Here is a 17,487-nt window from a genome sequence, read left to right as displayed (position 1 = left end):
TAACCGTGCAGTGAAAAACACTCTCTCTAGACCTCATCAGACTAAGGACATGCCTTGGCAGGTATGTACTTACCAATATTTCTAAACTATATTAATTGGCAGTTGTTCCAGGAGTACGTTGCAAATTCATGTATTTCAGGACAGGAGTGACCTTTTAAAAAAAATGGAATGCTGGCCGGGTATAGTGGCTCACGCCTGTAATCCCAGCACTTTGGGAGGCCAAGGCAGGCGGATCACAAGGTCAGGAGATCAAGACCATCCTGGCCAACATGGTGAAACCCCGTCTCTACTAAAAATACAAAAATTAGCTGGGCGTGGTGGCACGTGCCTGTAATCCCAGCTACTCGGGAGGCTGAGGCAGGAGACTCGCTTGAACCAGGGAGTCGGAGATTGTGGTAAGCTGAGATCATGCCACTCACTGCACTCCATCCTGGCAACAGAGCAAGACTCCATCTCAACTAAAAAAATTAAAATTTAAATTTAAAAAAAAGATGCTTTTAGTGCTGGGATATATCTTGTCTTCTTTTCTTTTTCAGTGAATAATTTTTTTTCTTTTATTTCACTGACTAGTGAAGAGATTGTGTTAAATAGCTTTACCAATGAATGGCAGCATTTCATGTCATAAGGAAGAGAACAGAGAACTAGAGCCTGAGCCAATTCCATGGCTTATAACATGCCTGAACTTAAGGGAGCTTGGATCCCGTCATCTCTAAACATGACAGGGAACAAGCCTTGCCCTGGCAGACTTCCAAGACTCCTGCTGTGTGCCAAGCCTCAAGCTAAATTCCATGCACACATCATCTCCCTTAATCCCCACAGTAATTCCAAGAAGTTGGCACTATTATTACCTCCCTATTTGATGGATGAGAAAACTGTGGCTCAGAGAAGTCAAGTAACTTTACCAAGGGCACATAATAAGTGAGAGAAATCAAACCAGACCATGTGACTCCACAGCCTGAAGCTTCACCATTCTGCTCTAACACATAGAAAGTCATTGGGCTCATGGTCAATTACTATATACATGTTAGCTTACGTTACAAACAACTTTAGACAAAGAAGTTTCAGTGAAAAAATTTAATTTCTAACCATAAAGTGAAGGTCTGACTAGTGCAGCCTGCTGATGGGATGCCTGAGATTCACAATATCACAGCTTTTGTAGACGTTTTCTATGGCTGCTTTCACACATTATCACCATTTAGCAGCTTAAAACAGTATGCAATTGTTATCTTGCTGTTTTGGTGGTACGAAGTCTGAAATGACTCACAGGGCTAAAATCGAGCTTGCAGCAGGGTGACGAACCTTCAGGAGGTTCTAGGGAAGGTTCCAGTTCATCTCCTTTTCCAGCTTCCAGAGGCTGCCCACATTTCTTGGCTTTTGAGCCTTCCCAACAATCCCATCACTCTGACCTCGGCTTCTGTATCATTTCTCTTATGACTCTGCCTTCCTCTTATAAGGACTTTTGTGATGACACTGTGCTCATTTGGAAAATCCAGGATAATCTCCCCATTTCATGGTCCTTAACTTAATCACATCTGCTAAGTCCTACTTACCAGGTAAGGTGGCATATTGGCAGGATTAGAACATTCAGGACATCTAGTGGGTGCTGTCTTTCTGTCTCCCACACTGTGCACATTAATCATTTAAAAACCAATTAAAGGAACATCAGTGAAACTACCTGCCTGACATTCTTTCACTCTTCCATATGCGTTTAGTGCTCTTTAATTTTTCCCCCACAAATTCAGGACAGAAAGTGAAAAACAGTTAAGCAAAAACCATGACCACATTACACAATATTTACTGCTATTGGTTGGCCAAAGGGTCAACTGGTTGACAAAGCCCATCTGGAAGATGCATTTTCTGTAGATATATGATTTTTAAAAAAATTAATATTCTTACTGTTGTTAACTGTTTTAATCTTTCTCATTCTCATGTGTTTCCTGGAAGCCTCATGAAAGCCATGAGCTTTTTCACATGAGAATATGGACAGTTCTGGGAACTACTCAGTTGCTGAGATTGAGCTGCCTGCAGCTTACCGGAGTTCCAATGCAAAGTGATCATCCCAAGATGTGGGTTCTTGTCCTGAAAGATCCTCTTTTACTGACCACACCACCTGCACAGTAACTCAGAGCCCCCTAACATGTGCAGCCCTGCTTCCTAACACTGTGCCATGCTACTTCACAAGGCTACTGGGGAAAATGAAATGATGGTGTACGTGGCAGGGCTTTGAAAACTCAAAAGCACAATAAAATGTAAACAGTTAGTTGAAAACAATTCTTTCCAGAAATAGGGAGTATGCCCTTCATTCAGTATATTGTTTACCTAGATCCATTTTTATTTTATTTGCATTCAGAAGCATTATTTGTATAGCTACGGCATGGTCAGTTCCCAAAATGTCTCATTAGTTCTCACAGTAACACAGATATGTTTGTTAGTTTTAAAAAAAGAGATCAATTCCATGCCGAAGCTGCATCATTTACTATACCATATTACTCAACAATGTGCATATGAATTGTCTGGGGATCCTGTGAAAGGGCAGATTGCAATTGAGTGTGTCTAGGTTAATGTCTGAGACTCCAGCCTAGGCAACAAAGTAAGACATCTGTCTCTACAACAAGAACAACAACAAAAATCAAAAAGTTAGCCAGAGGTCATGGCCAGCCACAGTGGCTCATGCCTGTAATCCCAGCACTTCGGGAGGCCGAGACGGGTGGATCACAAGGTCAAGAGATTGAGACCATCCTGGCCAACATGGTGAAACCCTATCTCTACAAAAAATACAAAAATTATCTAGGTGTGGTGGCGTGCTCCTGTAGTCCCAGCTACTCGGGAGGCTGAGGCAGGAGAATCACTTGAACCCAGGAAGCGGAGGTTGCAGTGAGCTATCGTGCCACTGCACTGTAGCCTGGTGACAGAGCAAGACTCCATCTCAAAAAAAAAAAAAAAAAAGCCAGAGGTCAAGGCTGCAGTGAGCTGTGTTCGTACCACTGCACTCTAGTCTGGGCAACAAATGCAAGACCCTGTCTCCAAAATGAAAAAAAAACTTCTGCATTTCTAATGAACTGCCAAGTGATGCTTATGCAACTGGTCCCCAGCCGCACTTTGGGAGGCACGGACTTACTGTTTATTCAATTCGTGTCCCTTAATGACAGTTCCTTGATGTGTGTCTTATCTATATTCTGCAGTTACATTTGTGTGTGTGTTTATGCATATGTATGTGCATGTATTTAGTCCATACCCTAGTAGCATGAATTATCTAATGAGAAACACTAAGTATTCTAAATTATCATCATCCATCACAATAAAAAAGTAAAAATATCAACATGTGAATACATCACTGCTAGCAGAAACAATATTTATTGAGCATTAAATGAGTGCATCCAGCACTATTAAACATGGACCTAGATTTCAGTTAAAGAATTTTTAGGCCTGGTTTGGTGGCTCATGCCTGTAATCCCAGCACTTTGGGAGGCCAAGGCGGGCGGATCACTTGAGGTCAGGAGTTTGAGACCAGCCTGGCCAACATGGTGAAACCCCGTCTCTACTAAAAATACAAAAATTAGCTTGGCATGATAGTGTGTGCCTGTAATCCCAGCTACTGGGGAGACTAAGGCAGGAGAATTGCTTGAACCCAGGAGGCAGAGGTTGCAGTGAGCCTAGATCGTGCCATTGCACTCCAGCGTAGGTGACAGAGTAAGACGCAGTCTCAAAAAAAAAAAAGATTGTTTAAAAAGCTATGCTTTGTCTTGCTCTGATATTGAGCAAATGATTTTAATCTCAGTCCAACTATGGTTTCTTTCGTTGCAGGTGAAAATTGAGCTACCAACACAACTCCATGAGAAACACCATATTTTGTTTTCTTTTTATCACGTCACCTGTGACATCAATGCAAAAGCTAATGCCAAAAAGAAGGAGGCTCTGGAAACGTCAGGTACTGCCAGGAAGAAATCTGAGGCAGAGTCACATGTCTTCTGTTTGAATTGGTTTGGAGAGTGTTTTCAAAGCCCTGATTTATTGAATTATTTTTCATGAAATTTAGTGTTCGTAAATAATAAATAGCATTATTGTGACTTCTTACCATGGAGGTTTGTACTCAGAATTTTTGTTGGTTATTCTTTTGCACAGTTGGATATGCTTGGCTTCCTCTGATGAAACACGATCAGATAGCTTCTCAAGAGTACAACATCCCAATAGCAACAAGTCTGCCTCCTAATTATTTAAGCTTTCAAGATTCTGCAAGTGGAAAGGTATTGAATAATGTGTAATTTAAGATTTTAAAAAAGCACACCAGCTTAATGGCATAAGATTATCTTCTTTCTCTGCTACTTAAGATCATAGTGGACATGTCCCTTGTAGCTATGAATCAAGTGTACCTATGCCACATCTCTTGTTTAGCTTATGGCCACTGGAAATGATATGTTAAAAATGATCCCGATGTCATATTGGTCTCATCTACCAATAGTGCTAAATGTATTTGCATCTTTTATTTTCCACCTGTAGCTGATATAAGATTAATGGATCAGAACAGCACATTAACATAAACTAAACAATCTATTTATTTTCTTTCTCTCGAATTGTCCCAGTGACAGTAAACAAACTTTATTTTGCAGCATGGTGGGAGTGACATTAAATGGGTTGATGGTGGCAAACCACTTTTCAAAGTGTCGACATTTGTTGTATCAACAGTAAATACTCAGGTGAGTATGTTGACCTGAAATACTAGCATCTTCTCTAACTCACAGCATCATGAGGTAATTCCCCTATTTACAGGATGAGACTAATCATTTCATGAAGTGTCAGAAAGGCAGGTGTTTGAATACTACAAAGGAAGAATGTTAAGGGCATAATTTGATGCCTCCCTCAAGACAGATAGAATGTCCTAATCCCTTAAGCCCAGACACCATAAAACTTCAGACCAAAATACCAGAAGTGTGTTTAATAGGATCACACTCCCCTTGGAGTATGGTTTGCTTCCACTGACCACACTCATGTGTTAAAAATGTTAAATGTTAAAAATAAAGGCCAGGCCCGGTGGCTCACTCCTGTAATCCCAGCACTTTGGGAGGCCGAGGCGGGCAGATTACCTGAGGTCGGGGGTTCAAGACCAGCCTGACCAACATGGAGAAACCCCATCTCTACTAAAAATACAAAATTAGTCAGGCATGGTGACGCATGCCTGTAATCCCAGCCACTTGGGAGGCTGAGGCAGGAGAATCTCTTGAACTCGGGAGGCAGAGGTTGCGTTGAGCTGAGATCGTGCCATTGCACTCCAGCCTGGGCAACAAAAGCGAAACTGCATCTCAAAAATAATAATAAAAAAATAAAGACAGACTTCAGATCTTTACCTGAAAACCAAGTCCAATCCCCAATGCCTTCCCAGGGCTCACCTAATTGGAAGGCCATGAGGTTGGCAGAACTGCATTTGAGAGCCACCCCACCTAATTTCTGGCTCCATTACCCTGGGCAAGTCACTTTACCTCTGATATCCTTATTTCCTCATCAAGAAATGATATCAACAGAGTCTCTGCTACCTAAGGTTGTAGCAAATGTGATCCAAAGGAGAAATATTTCAAAATGTGATCAAAATGAGAAATATTTCATGAAGTGCGAAAGTCTATACACGTATAATTATTACCATTGTTAAATTACCACAAACTCATTCCTTCCGTGGCAAGGCAGCTTATTTTACCACAATGTGAGTTTTCTGGCAACAGATATAAACTATACATTATTATAAGTACATAAAATATGTATTTCTCCTTTCTTAAGTTTAATGTGTATCTGCTTTTCATTTTTTGCTTCATGCTGCTTTATCTGTAAGCCATACTTGATCCATAAGAAAAATGAAATAATCCAGGCATCGTATATACATTGGACCAAAATTTCTCTCGGCAACCTCTGAGGCTTCAAGTCCAATTGACTTCTTATCCCTAGCCCTGCACCCACAATGATTTAAACCCATCTTTTCTCTGATGCCATCAGCCCTGGTCAAGTTCCACAAAACACTCAATCTCCACCAAACCCTATATTTTTGTATATCTCAGCAGCTCCTCAGTTTCTCTTTCTCATGCTTCCAGCTGCTTTCTCCAAATAGCTGAGGTCTCTGACTCACCACAACACACCCTCTCTCTACCTCGACTCTCACTACCCATGCACTGGCAGCATTTACCTCAGTTTTCAAACACCCAAGGCCCTCCAGCCAAACAATATCCACCTAGTTCCCGCAAGACCCAGTGATCCCTTTGACACTCAGCCCCTCCTCAGTGGAGAAGGGAAGCTCTCCCACTCTCCCTCCCTGGCTATTATGAACCATATCACAGGGGTGGACACTCCCCGCAATATGGGGAGTAATTGCACTCCCCTTTCCCCGCCACCCCCACCCGCACCGTGGCTATTACAAACCATATTGCAGGGGGTGGATACCCCCCTTCCCCTTGTTGGTCTGGTTGGTTCCTACCCATCCTTCAGATCTTAGCTCAGTTGTCACTTCCTCTAAGAAGCCTTCCCTGTTCCCTGACCCAACAGACAAAGCTGGGCCATCTTGTCACTCATCCAGATGGCACCTGCTTTGTGTTTGAAGTGCTCATCAAATGTGATTACATAGGTGTGTGTGGAAGTAGTGGTGTCGTGCTGGCCTCCCCGCCTTAATGGAAGGTACACAGAGGAAGGGGTTGGGCCTTCCTTGCCCTCTGCTCTGTCCTCCCTCAGTGCCTGCTAAGACCCTGGTATGCAGTCAGCTTTCCATAAATAATGAGCAAATAGACGAATCAATGAATTGATACTTAAAGGGAAAACAGTTGTCTCTAGTCAAAAAAGAGCTACACTTAGAAAAGAGAAAATAGGGCACACACACACACGCGCACACACACAGTGGCCTGAGGGAAATGAGGAAAACCCAAGCTACAAATGCCTTTCTGGAATCATAGAAAGCCAGGGAAACATTCAGAGTGTGTCCTCACACAAGTTCTTTATCTCACTGCCTGACTGTGTAGCTCCCACCCTCAGGGCAGAACTTAGAGAATTTTCCAGGTACCACCTTCTGGAAGTAAATTTCAAGTGTTATAGTCAGTTCTATCCTAAGATAATGAGTTGTGGACTTTCTAATCTGGGGCTAATTCAGGCATTCTAAGCCTAAAAATATGCCCTGTAGATATTAAAGAGTACGCATTGTCATGTGTGTCAAGGATGGTATAGAAGAAATTGGTAGAAGTCTATGGAAGAAGCAGGAGTGGGAAGATAAATGAAGAAAATTTTTCTAAACACAAAAAGCACAACCAAGGGAAGTAATTCTCCAGCCATTGTCATGTGGTTGAATAGAACAACAAAACCTCTTAGAATGAAATAGAAGAGAGAGTGGGCTTTGTAGTTCATGCAGAGCCTTCACTAGGCCAGAAATGTCCACATCAAAGCTTTGTTCCTCTGACTCCTTAATAAAGCATTTGCACTTCGAGGCATCAATCCTACAGAAATGCTTACCTCACATCACAGTGGTTTGTGTTTGTAACACGGTTTACGTGTCATCAGAAATAAATACTTTTTTTTTGCTGTTGTAGGATCCACATGTGAATGCATTTTTCCAAGAGTGCCAAAAAAGAGAGAAAGATATGTCTCAGTCACCTACCTCAAATTTCATCCGCTCTTGTAAGGTAACATGACATGCAAGCAGTTTCAGTGATCTCCAGGGTAAAAATGTGCAAAAGAGACTTTTACATTTTCCACCGATGGGCAAACTGGGAGATGATTATTACTCAAGATTTTTTAATACCTTATCAATTCAGAGAGTAAATGATTTTATTTCATAATTTCTGAATAGTTTCTGTTTCTTGACTTAAAAGACAAGCAAAAATCAGTTTTTTCCAAAATAAAAATAATTGAAAATCAGAATCAATTTATTCTAAATTAATTATTAAATCACGAGTCCTTGCAACATTACCATCATGCCTATATTCCATACTAATTGCAATAAAGAATAAAGCCAGATAAAGGTGGGCTACAGTGTTCATACTCAAGTTCTGAAAAAAATACCAGCAGAATATACTTTATTTTTTTCTAACGTATTCATTTTTTAATTAACAAAGAAAAATTATATACCTTTATTGTATACAGTATGATGTTTGGAAATATGTATACATTATGTAACAGCTTCATTGAGTTAATTACTGTATTTATTATATCACATACTTATAATTTTTAAGGTTATAACACTTAATATCCACTCTCTTAGAGATTTTTAAGAATATAACACATTTTTATTAACTATAGTGACCATGTTGTGCAATATTCCTCCTATCTATCTAGCTGAAATTTTGTATCCTTTGATCAACATCTCCCAGCACTCCCCTCCCTAGCCCCTGGTAACCACCATTCCACTCTCTACTTCTATGAATTCAACTTTTTTAGATCCCACATATAAATGAGATCATGCGGTATTTGTCTTTCTGTGCCTGGCTCATTTCACTTAGCATAATATACTCCGGGTTCCTCCATGTTGTTGCAAATGACCTAATTTCCTTCCTTTTTAAGGCTGTATAGTATTCCATTATGTTTATGTACCACATTTTCTTTACCCATTTCATCGGTTGATGGACACTTGGATTGATTCTGTATCTTGGCTGCAGTGAATAGTGCTGCAGTAAAGATGGGAATAGACATCTTCAGCATACTGATCTCATTTCCTTTGGATATACATCCAGTAGTGGGATTGCTAGATTATATGGTAGTGCTATTTTTAATTTTTTGAGGAACCTTCATATTGTTTTCCATAGTGGCTCTTCTGATTTACATTCTTACCAGCAATGTGCAAGTGTTCCTTCTCCTCCACACCCTCTCCAATAATTATTATCTTTCACCTTTTTTGACAACAGCCATTTTAACAGATATGAGGTGATGTCCCACTGTGGTTTTAATTTGCATTTCTCCAATGATTAATGACGTTGAACATTTTTTATATATCTGTTGGCCATTTGTACACCCTCTTTTGAGAAATGTCTATTTGGGTCCCTTGCCCATTTTTTCATTGGGTTATTTGTTTTCTTACTATTGAGTTGTTTGAGTTCCTTATATATTTTGGATATTAACCCTTTCTAAGATGTATGGTTTGCAAATATTTTCCTCCATTCAATGGAGTAAAGTTGTCTCTTTACTCCATTGAGTGTTTCCTTGGCTGTGCTGAAACCTTTTAGTTTGATATGCCATTTGTCTGTTTTCACTTTGCTGCCTGAGCTTTGAGGGTCATATCCAAAAAATCATTGCCCAGTCTAATGTCACGAAGTTTTTCTCCTTATGTTTTCTTCTCATAGATTTATAGTTTCAGGTCTTGAATGTAGGACATGCTTCAAATTTAATTGGTATCCTTTTTTTCTGCCAATTTACTACAGAACTTATTGAATGTGGAAAAGATTCATGCAATCATGAGTTTTCTGCCTATAATTTTGAATCAGCTCTTCAAAGTTCTGGTACAGAATGAGGAAGATGAAATAACTACAACTGTCACCAGGTATCCATAACACAACCTTAAGAGGAGAGACTTTATAATGTGTAGTTACATAAACTCTTAATTATAACTAAACAGTCATCTACTGTTGTGTGTTTACATTTCATTTGAACACATCTCAAATTTAAGCATTTTCCACTCTTGACTCCTTACCTTCTAATCTCTTATTATTAGTAGTAAAGTGTTAGACCTCTTTTTCTTTGATTTTTAAATTAAACTTTTTCTTTTGAGATCACGGTAGATTCATGTGCAATTGTAAAACATAATTCAGAGTTTCCCATGTGCCCTTTACCTGGTTTTCCCCACTGGCAACATCTTCCATACAGGTGTAGAATCATACAGTAGGTAAATGTTTGTAATTGGCTTTTTCATGTAACATAATTCTCTGGAGATTCATCCAGATCATTGCATCTATCAGTAGTTCACTCCTTTTCATTGCAGAGTAGTATTCCACGATGTGGATGCACCACATATGTTTAATTATTCACCTGTTGAAGGACATTTGGAGTGTCTCTAGTTTAGGGCTGTTATGAATAAAAGTGCTATGAACGGCTGGGCCCGGTGGCTCACGCCTGTCATCCCAGCACTTTGGGAGGCCGAGGCCGGTGGATCACAAGGACAGGAGATCGAGACCATCCTGCCTAACATGTAACAGTAGAGTTGGTGAAACCCCAACTCTACTAAAAAAAAAAAAAAAAAAATTACAAAAAATTAGCCGGGCGTGGTGGTGGGTGCCTGTAGTCCCAGCTACTCGGGAGGCTGAGGCAGGAGAATGGCATGAACCCAGGAGGCGGAGCTTGCAGTGAGCTGAGATTGCACCACTGCACTCCAGCCTGGGTGAAAGAGCAAGACTCCGTCTCAAAAAAAAAGAAGTGCTATGAACATTCATGTAGAGGTTTTGTGTAAACATAAGTCTTCGTTTCTCTTAAGTAAATGCCCAAAGTGTAATTGCTGGGGGGCAGGGTGGTTGCATGTTTGATATTTAAGAAAGTGCCTATTCTCCAGAGTGGCTGTATAATTTTGCATTCCCACAAGAACCTTTTTTTTAAGTATTAAATGCTTTAACTGTTCTCACTTTAAATTTGGCTATACTGAATTCTTCCAACATCTCTAATCTGGCCAATGCCTTCACAAATCACAATTTCTTCTTTATAGAGATAGTGCTTTGAATTAATTATTAAATTATATATTTGTGCTGTTCATTTTTTTAAAAAATTTAGTCATAGCATTCTGGAAAAAAATGTTACTTTTGGCATTGAAATGTTTCCAGTATCTTTCTAACTCACAGGCATATTACTGACCTCTTTCTGAATGAGGGTTTGTAGCCTAGTTTTTAAAGCAGAGCCTGAAATTCTGGACAATTTAAATATCTCTAATGGCTTCACAACCATCCAGTTCTGGACCTGCATCAAAAGTCCCCAGCTGTGCCTTCAACTCATGCTCTTTTCAGCATGTGAATGTGTCTCTGTGTTGGCAAGACTCCTAGATATTGCAGCTGATAGATCTGTTGAAATTCTGAGATATTCCTAAGCACTATAGCCATGGAGCAGCTGGTAGTGTTAATGTGAAAAAAGATCCACCTGTACATCATTGCTGCTAGAAACCCCAACCCAGCTAAGGGAAAAACAAAGCAAAACAAAACAACTGCATCTTAACCTAATTACTTTTTCCAAAAGCATATATAGTGCCTATAGGTTGGAAGGCAAGCCCTCTTCAAATGAAATATGATTATTAATTTGAAATTAAAAGTCTAAAATTTTAATTAGGCACTAAAAATAATCCCTTTTGCAAAAAGATAATGTCAAAAACGCACAGACCATAATTAGCACATTCAACTTGGACAAAAAGTCTCCATTGTGATATTACAACACTACTTACATCTTTGTGTTTCAAAGTTTCAAAGTTGGAAATGGCTAATCGATGGAAATGGCTCATTGATGCTATAGATATTAAATGCCCAGTATTGGATATGGGGCTGAGGAGGGCAAGGAAGGAGTCAGAGATTGGTTCATTCATTCACCCAGTAATTATTAAATACCCAATTTACAAAGCACTGTAATGACAAACTAAAGCGGGGTTTTTCTGCCCTCTCCAGAAAGGCCACTGAACAGCTTTGCTTTTGCAGGGTTCTGACCGACATTGTGGCCAAGTGCCATGAGGAGCAGCTGGATCATTCTGTCCAGTCATATATTAAGGTATGAAATGCCTCTTGGAAATTGCTCATATCCCCTTGTGCTGTGTGACTTGTCTCATTTCCTGTCTGCAGTAAGTGGGAAGTTTTCTCCCTTTAACTGAGTGGCGCCCACCACAGTAATATCAGGAATTTGCCTTAGCTACTTAGAATTCCATCTCTTTGCATTAATGGGCTAGGTGAATTTTTAAATGTATAAATAATGTGTACCTGTGCACATAAATAATTAAATGGGGAGAGAGAGGAAAGAAAAAGATAGAGGAGAAAACTAAAGTGCTGTCCTTTTGAAGTCAACATTACAAGTACATGAGATTCCTGTGTTAATTTAAGGAAGACTTTCCTGTTGGTTTGTTGAATGCTCTGTGTTTCCTCTGTAATGCTTTCTTAGCTCTTTCTATTGTTTCCTCAGGCATTATTTCATTTTCCCAGTTACTGTATATTTGTACCTGCTTCTGGTATGTTAAGTCCTTTATCTTCTGGCATGAACCACTTGCCCATTCCATCAGTGTGCACTGCTTCTTCCAGTGTCCTACGTCAAGTGTTCACTCAGAGACGCTTCTATTCTCATTTCCAGTTGGCCTGTGGATTAATGCCAGTGAACTTGTGATGATGTTTGCACTTTCATAGTTCCCACCTAAATGTCATCCTCTTGAATGAAAAGAAAGAACCCATCCAGAAATACAGAAGAGTATCTTAAATTACTTTATAATACATAGAGGACCTAAATCTCTTATTTTTTTTCCTATGCATAGATTAAATCTTTTTGAGACATAGCTTTTTCATCAAAAAACTGTATTCTCTTAATATGTATGCACAGACAGATACTCATATATTCAAGATGTCTAGAAACTTGTTAAAAAAAAAATCGGCCAAGCGTGGTGGCTCACGCCTGTAATCCAAGCACTTTGGGAGGCCGAGGCGGGCGGATCACGAGGTCAGGAGATTGAGACCATCCTGGCTAACACAGTGAAACCCTGTCTCTACTAAAAATACAAAAAATTAGCCAGGCGTGGTGGTGGGCGCCTGTAGTCCCAGCTACTTGGGAGGCTGAGGCTGCAGAATGGCGTGAACCCGGGAGGCAGAGCTTGCAGTGAGCCAAGATTGTGCCACTGCACTCCAGCCTGGGCAACAGAGCAAGACTCCATCTCAAAAAAAAAAAAAAAATTCCACACTCCCATAAAAGGAAGTAACCAGAAATTGCATTCTGGAGTGAACCCCTCTGAGATACCATCTGTAAGGAAATTTTTTTCATTACAGTTTTTATATCCATATGTTTTCTATCTGCCAGAAATGTTAGTTGTCTTCCCAAATGCCAAAGCATGAGTATGTGCCCTTTTTAAACATAGGCTATATGCCAAAAATAGTTATTTCACAATAATTTCTCTATTGTATAATTTTACCCAATAAGATCCACATCTCAACTGCAAAAAGCCAGTTCCACCTACACAAGCCTTTTTAGTTTGCTCCCTAAGATAGGGTCATAGCTTAGTTTTATAGAGTATCGATGAATTTACCATTCAACAGAATCACCTGGAGAACTTTCACCCTCTCAATGCTTCATTACCCGAATGTTTCATTTCAATCCTTAAAGGGACTGAGAAAGAGAAAAAAAGTTACTGATCCATCTTACACACAGGCATCTCCATTTCAACACATATTATTTTCCTCATGTCAGTGGGATCATTGAAAATTACATTAAGAACCCTCCGGTGTTGTGACTATTTTTGTGATTACCAAGGCTAGCTCTTTGTGAATACCTCAAATCTCAGACTTTCTACCGGTGACGCTCCTGGAGAGATGCATTAGAAATGCATCCTGGCGTGACCTTTATTTTTAACCAGGGTATCTGAAATACCCAACAAGACCATCTCACTTTATAATACAGGAGATTATCTACTTAGCTTGCTTTAAGTGATTCAAATCCAAAAATACACCTATGTGGAATTTTAGGCTGATAACAATTTTATAATAAATTTTAACATATCTAAAACAAATACCTCCTAATAAATGTAATCAACTCGCATTTTACTCGGGAAAGAACACTAAGCTGGCAAGTAAGAGACTAGATTCTAGTCAATTCTAGACTTAAGCAGTCAGCCTCTCTGAACCTCAGTTTTCTCCTGTGACATGAGATGAAATGACCAAAGGAACATTCAGTTCTATCATCCTGTGATTGGACTCTTGTTACAGTGCGTGCTTGAATGTCCTCCAAAGATGTGATATTCAATACAATTTGTATTTATTTAGAAGTTATCTAAACACCATTTCAAGTTCAGTGGTGCTAAATGCTGCTAACTCACTTCGTCTACAATATGCAAAATGCACACATACACCGTGTCTTTTTCAAAGATGCGTGTCTAAAGCCAGTCTAATTAAATGCCATGGTTAACAGTGATTTGTAGCACTGATGGGTTACAGTCAAAATTTTAAAATAAGAATATTTCAGTGCCAGTTTAAATGCCCTTCAGGCTAAATAACTGTGCATGGCATGAGCTCATTGATGATGACGTTACTCACATCTGAGGTATAACCCATGAGAGGGAAAAATTGTATTACTCTTGATTTTATCTAGTTTCATGCATCCATTAACTTCATCTTTCTCCTTTGAGATGAGCTTGGAGAAGTCAAATCCCACCATGACAAGTTAGGTGCCAATGTGCTACAAAGTTTAAAGAAACAGTTACAGATCCAAAAGCTAATGTGCCTCTACATTAAGCCATTCCTTCTCTTTCCTGCCTTCACTCTCAATTACGGTGAAATCCGAATTGTGAAAATTATGAAGAAATGTCCTTCCACGAGGCAAACCCAATTCATAAGTGAAATATTATAATTCAGTAATAAGCATTTTATATTTGAACTTTATGTATGTGCATAAATTGATACTGATATTCTTAAGAGATGAAGAAATACTGAAAACTAGCCATTATGTGCCCTCAGTGGTGCATGCCAAAACCAATTTTTTGAGGAAAAAAAATAAGTATGCAGCATTTGTTATCTTACTGATGGCCAATGTTCATGAACGCCTTGATAGTGTGTCTAAGCATGGGATCATAGACCCTGGGCTTGTGGGGAGCTCACGTACTGGCATCTGGAAGGCACTGGCTTCCCCACTTGGCTATTTGAGTGGGTGCTCTACCCTTTCAGGATGAAGAATTGCTACCATGCCACCTGTTACCAGTGGAGGAAGGAGAAGGGGAATGTGTCCTAAGTAGGTGGGTCAAAGCCCTCCATGTTTCCTTGAACGTGCTAAATGGCTCTCTGGCTCTTTCTCTTGATTTCTACAAAGAGTTTCAAGGAGAGCTTAGGTGAGCAAGGCCCTACTTCTGCAAAGCCCTAAATAGGAACAGGTGTGTACTGCTCTTATCATTGGGCCTGCATTTATCTCATGGCAAAATCTGGCATGAGCAGATAATTTAGAGACATAAGTTATTCACATGACATAGTTTTTGAAGCTTCATTTTTCAAAGTATTTAACTTTATTCACTTTTTGGATTTTCTTCAGTTCGTGTTCAAGACCAGGGCATGCAAGGAGAGGACTGTACATGAGGAACTGGCTAAAAATGTGACTGGTCTTTTGAAATCAAATGACTCAACAACAGTAAAGCATGTCCTAAAGGTAAGAATTTAAAGATGGTCCTTTAACTGTGAGTACTAGGCATGGGTCACGCTTACTCCTGGAAAATGATAGGAGTCATGGATTTTCATAGACTTTTTCTCTTGCAGTTTCCAGCATAAGGTTCATATTGAAACTTAGCATATAAAGATACTAAGCAAAAGAGATCTATATCGAGACAACATAGAAAAAAGTAGAGTGGGCCAGGTGCAGTGGCTCACCTCTGTAATCCCAGCATTTTAGGAGGCTGAGATGGGCAGATCACCTGAAGTCAGGAGTTCAAGACCAGCCTGGCCAACATGGTGAAACCCCATCTCTACTAAAAATACAAAAACAAAATTAGCCAGGAGTGGTGACAGATGCCTGTAATCCCAGCTACTCAGGAGGCAGAGGCAGGGGAATCGCTTGAACCCGGGAGGCAGAGGTTGCAGTGAGCCGAGATCATGCCATTGCACTCCAGCCTGGGCAACAAGACCAGAGAGAGAGAGAGAGAGAGATACATAGATAGATATTGTATGTTAGAAAAGAAGATGCATTAGAAAAATTGTAGAACAGGTAAGAATTGGGCATTGTGAGTGCTGAAGGTGCAGGGGAGATTTGAAGTTTTAAATAGAATGGTCAGGATATCTGATGGAGGAGGTAATTCTTGAGCAAAAAAAAAAAAAATTTGAAGGCGAAGAGGGTGCTGGCCATGGGGATGCTCAGAGGGAAAGACCTGTGTGAAGTCATCAGGCAGCAGCATGGCTGGTGTGTCTGCAGGAGACAGGGAGGACACTGTGGCAGGAGACAGGGAGGACACTGTGGCTGGAGCCAAGTGAGCAGAAAGAAAAAAAAAAGATGGACGATGAAGTCATGGAAGCCACTGGAGGCTTGGGAGTTAGCATAGGCCAGGCGTTCCCACTCAGAGCAGAACTGGGAGTTGTGTCGTTGGAGGGTTTTGCACAGAGGAGTAATGTTTTAAACCAAGCTGACCTTGGTTTAAAAGGATCCCTCTGATTGCTGTGTTGAGAATCGACTACAGTGGGATAAAAATGGAGACCACAACCACTTGAGGGGCTATCAGAGAAGCAGGATCCTCTGGGGAGAGTCACTGCTCAGTTAAAATATGGAGTGAAGGGAATGCTCGGAGAAGAATTGCATCTTCAAGAGATTGTGCTAACGATGGACCATGTGCTCTGGAAGGTGGGGTGGGTGGGTTTCAGGAGATTGGAAGCAGTGGAATGTGCAGATATATAAGGGAATATGTGGAGAGGGCAGTAGAGGAGTTGAGGCTTCATCTGTCATCAGACGTGAACAGGCAAAAGCTCAATTTCATTAGTGCTGGTGGTTTCAAGGAAAATAGTGGAGGCAGGCCAGAGTGCTAAGGGATGGAGAGGGGTAGGAGTCTGTTGAATTAAGAGACAAATGTTGGAACACTTGACACGATGGCTCAAAATATTTTGGACAAGATTAGGGAAAGAGGATTGCAGCAGTGTGCCTGGGATTCATTCATATTCCTAACAACATGTTTCACTTCTAATAGCCATTAGAATGCTATTGGAGTGCTAGAATAGTATTGGTAGCCATTTCCATTTCTTCTTACTAAGAAGTGACCACTTCATTAAGCCATAGCTGCCTTTGTAGAATATCAATCCCTTCTCTTTTTTATCTGAGTCAGTCTTCTGGAATTAGGACTGTCTTGTCAAAAGTTTATCGCAGCATTGTTTGTATGACTTAAAACAGGATATAATCCAAATGCCCATTGACAGTAGAGCAGATAAGTACATGGTGATTATATATGTCATGTGGTGACCATATGTGATCCCCCCAGCTACGTGCTTCAACATAAACGAACCACAGAACAGAATTTGTTGAATGAAAAAGGCAATCTCAGAAGAATACATAGAGGATAGTTCCATTCTTATGAAGTTCAGTGGCCAGATGAACTAAATATCCCTTCATTGTATAAGTATTCGTAGCAAAATTGTGAAGTAAAGCAAAGGAATGATTAGCACAAAATTTAAAACTGTTATCTGTGGTGGAAGGAGTAGGAAGCAGAGAGGATGCAAGGGGTGCGTTCTTGAAACTATACATATACAATATGACTTTTTGTAGCTGAGATAAGTGTCACCCTTAGGCCCAAGAAAGAAGGGTGCCCATCCTGGGATGAGCTTTGTTCTTCTCATACTGCACCTGTCCTCACAGGCCAAGGTT

At 40.2% G+C, this 17,487-nt stretch overlaps 1 protein-coding gene across 24 annotated transcripts in view; it reads left to right on the top strand.

The window, feature by feature from the left end:
• The window catches only part of DOCK10 (dedicator of cytokinesis 10), a 277,379-nt gene that overhangs the window by 193,022 nt on the left and 66,870 nt on the right, over positions 1-17,487 (top strand). For all 24 annotated transcript variants that reach the window (XM_047444930.1, XM_047444929.1, XM_047444922.1 and 21 more), the window contains 7 exons: positions 3,805-3,928; positions 4,123-4,244; positions 4,608-4,694; positions 7,551-7,643; positions 9,375-9,493; positions 11,616-11,685; positions 15,184-15,297. In XM_047444930.1, the coding sequence (XP_047300886.1) occupies positions 3,805-3,928; positions 4,123-4,244; positions 4,608-4,694; positions 7,551-7,643; positions 9,375-9,493; positions 11,616-11,685; positions 15,184-15,297 (729 nt within the window). The remainder of the gene's footprint in view (positions 1-3,804; positions 3,929-4,122; positions 4,245-4,607; positions 4,695-7,550; positions 7,644-9,374; positions 9,494-11,615; positions 11,686-15,183; positions 15,298-17,487) is intronic.

The sequence above is a fragment of the Homo sapiens genome, chromosome 2, assembly GCF_000001405.40.
Source record: "Homo sapiens chromosome 2, GRCh38.p14 Primary Assembly".
Lineage (NCBI taxonomy): Eukaryota > Metazoa > Chordata > Mammalia > Primates > Hominidae > Homo > Homo sapiens.
Note: the sequence above shows the minus strand (reverse complement) of the source record. Positions and strands in the feature narration are given on the sequence as shown.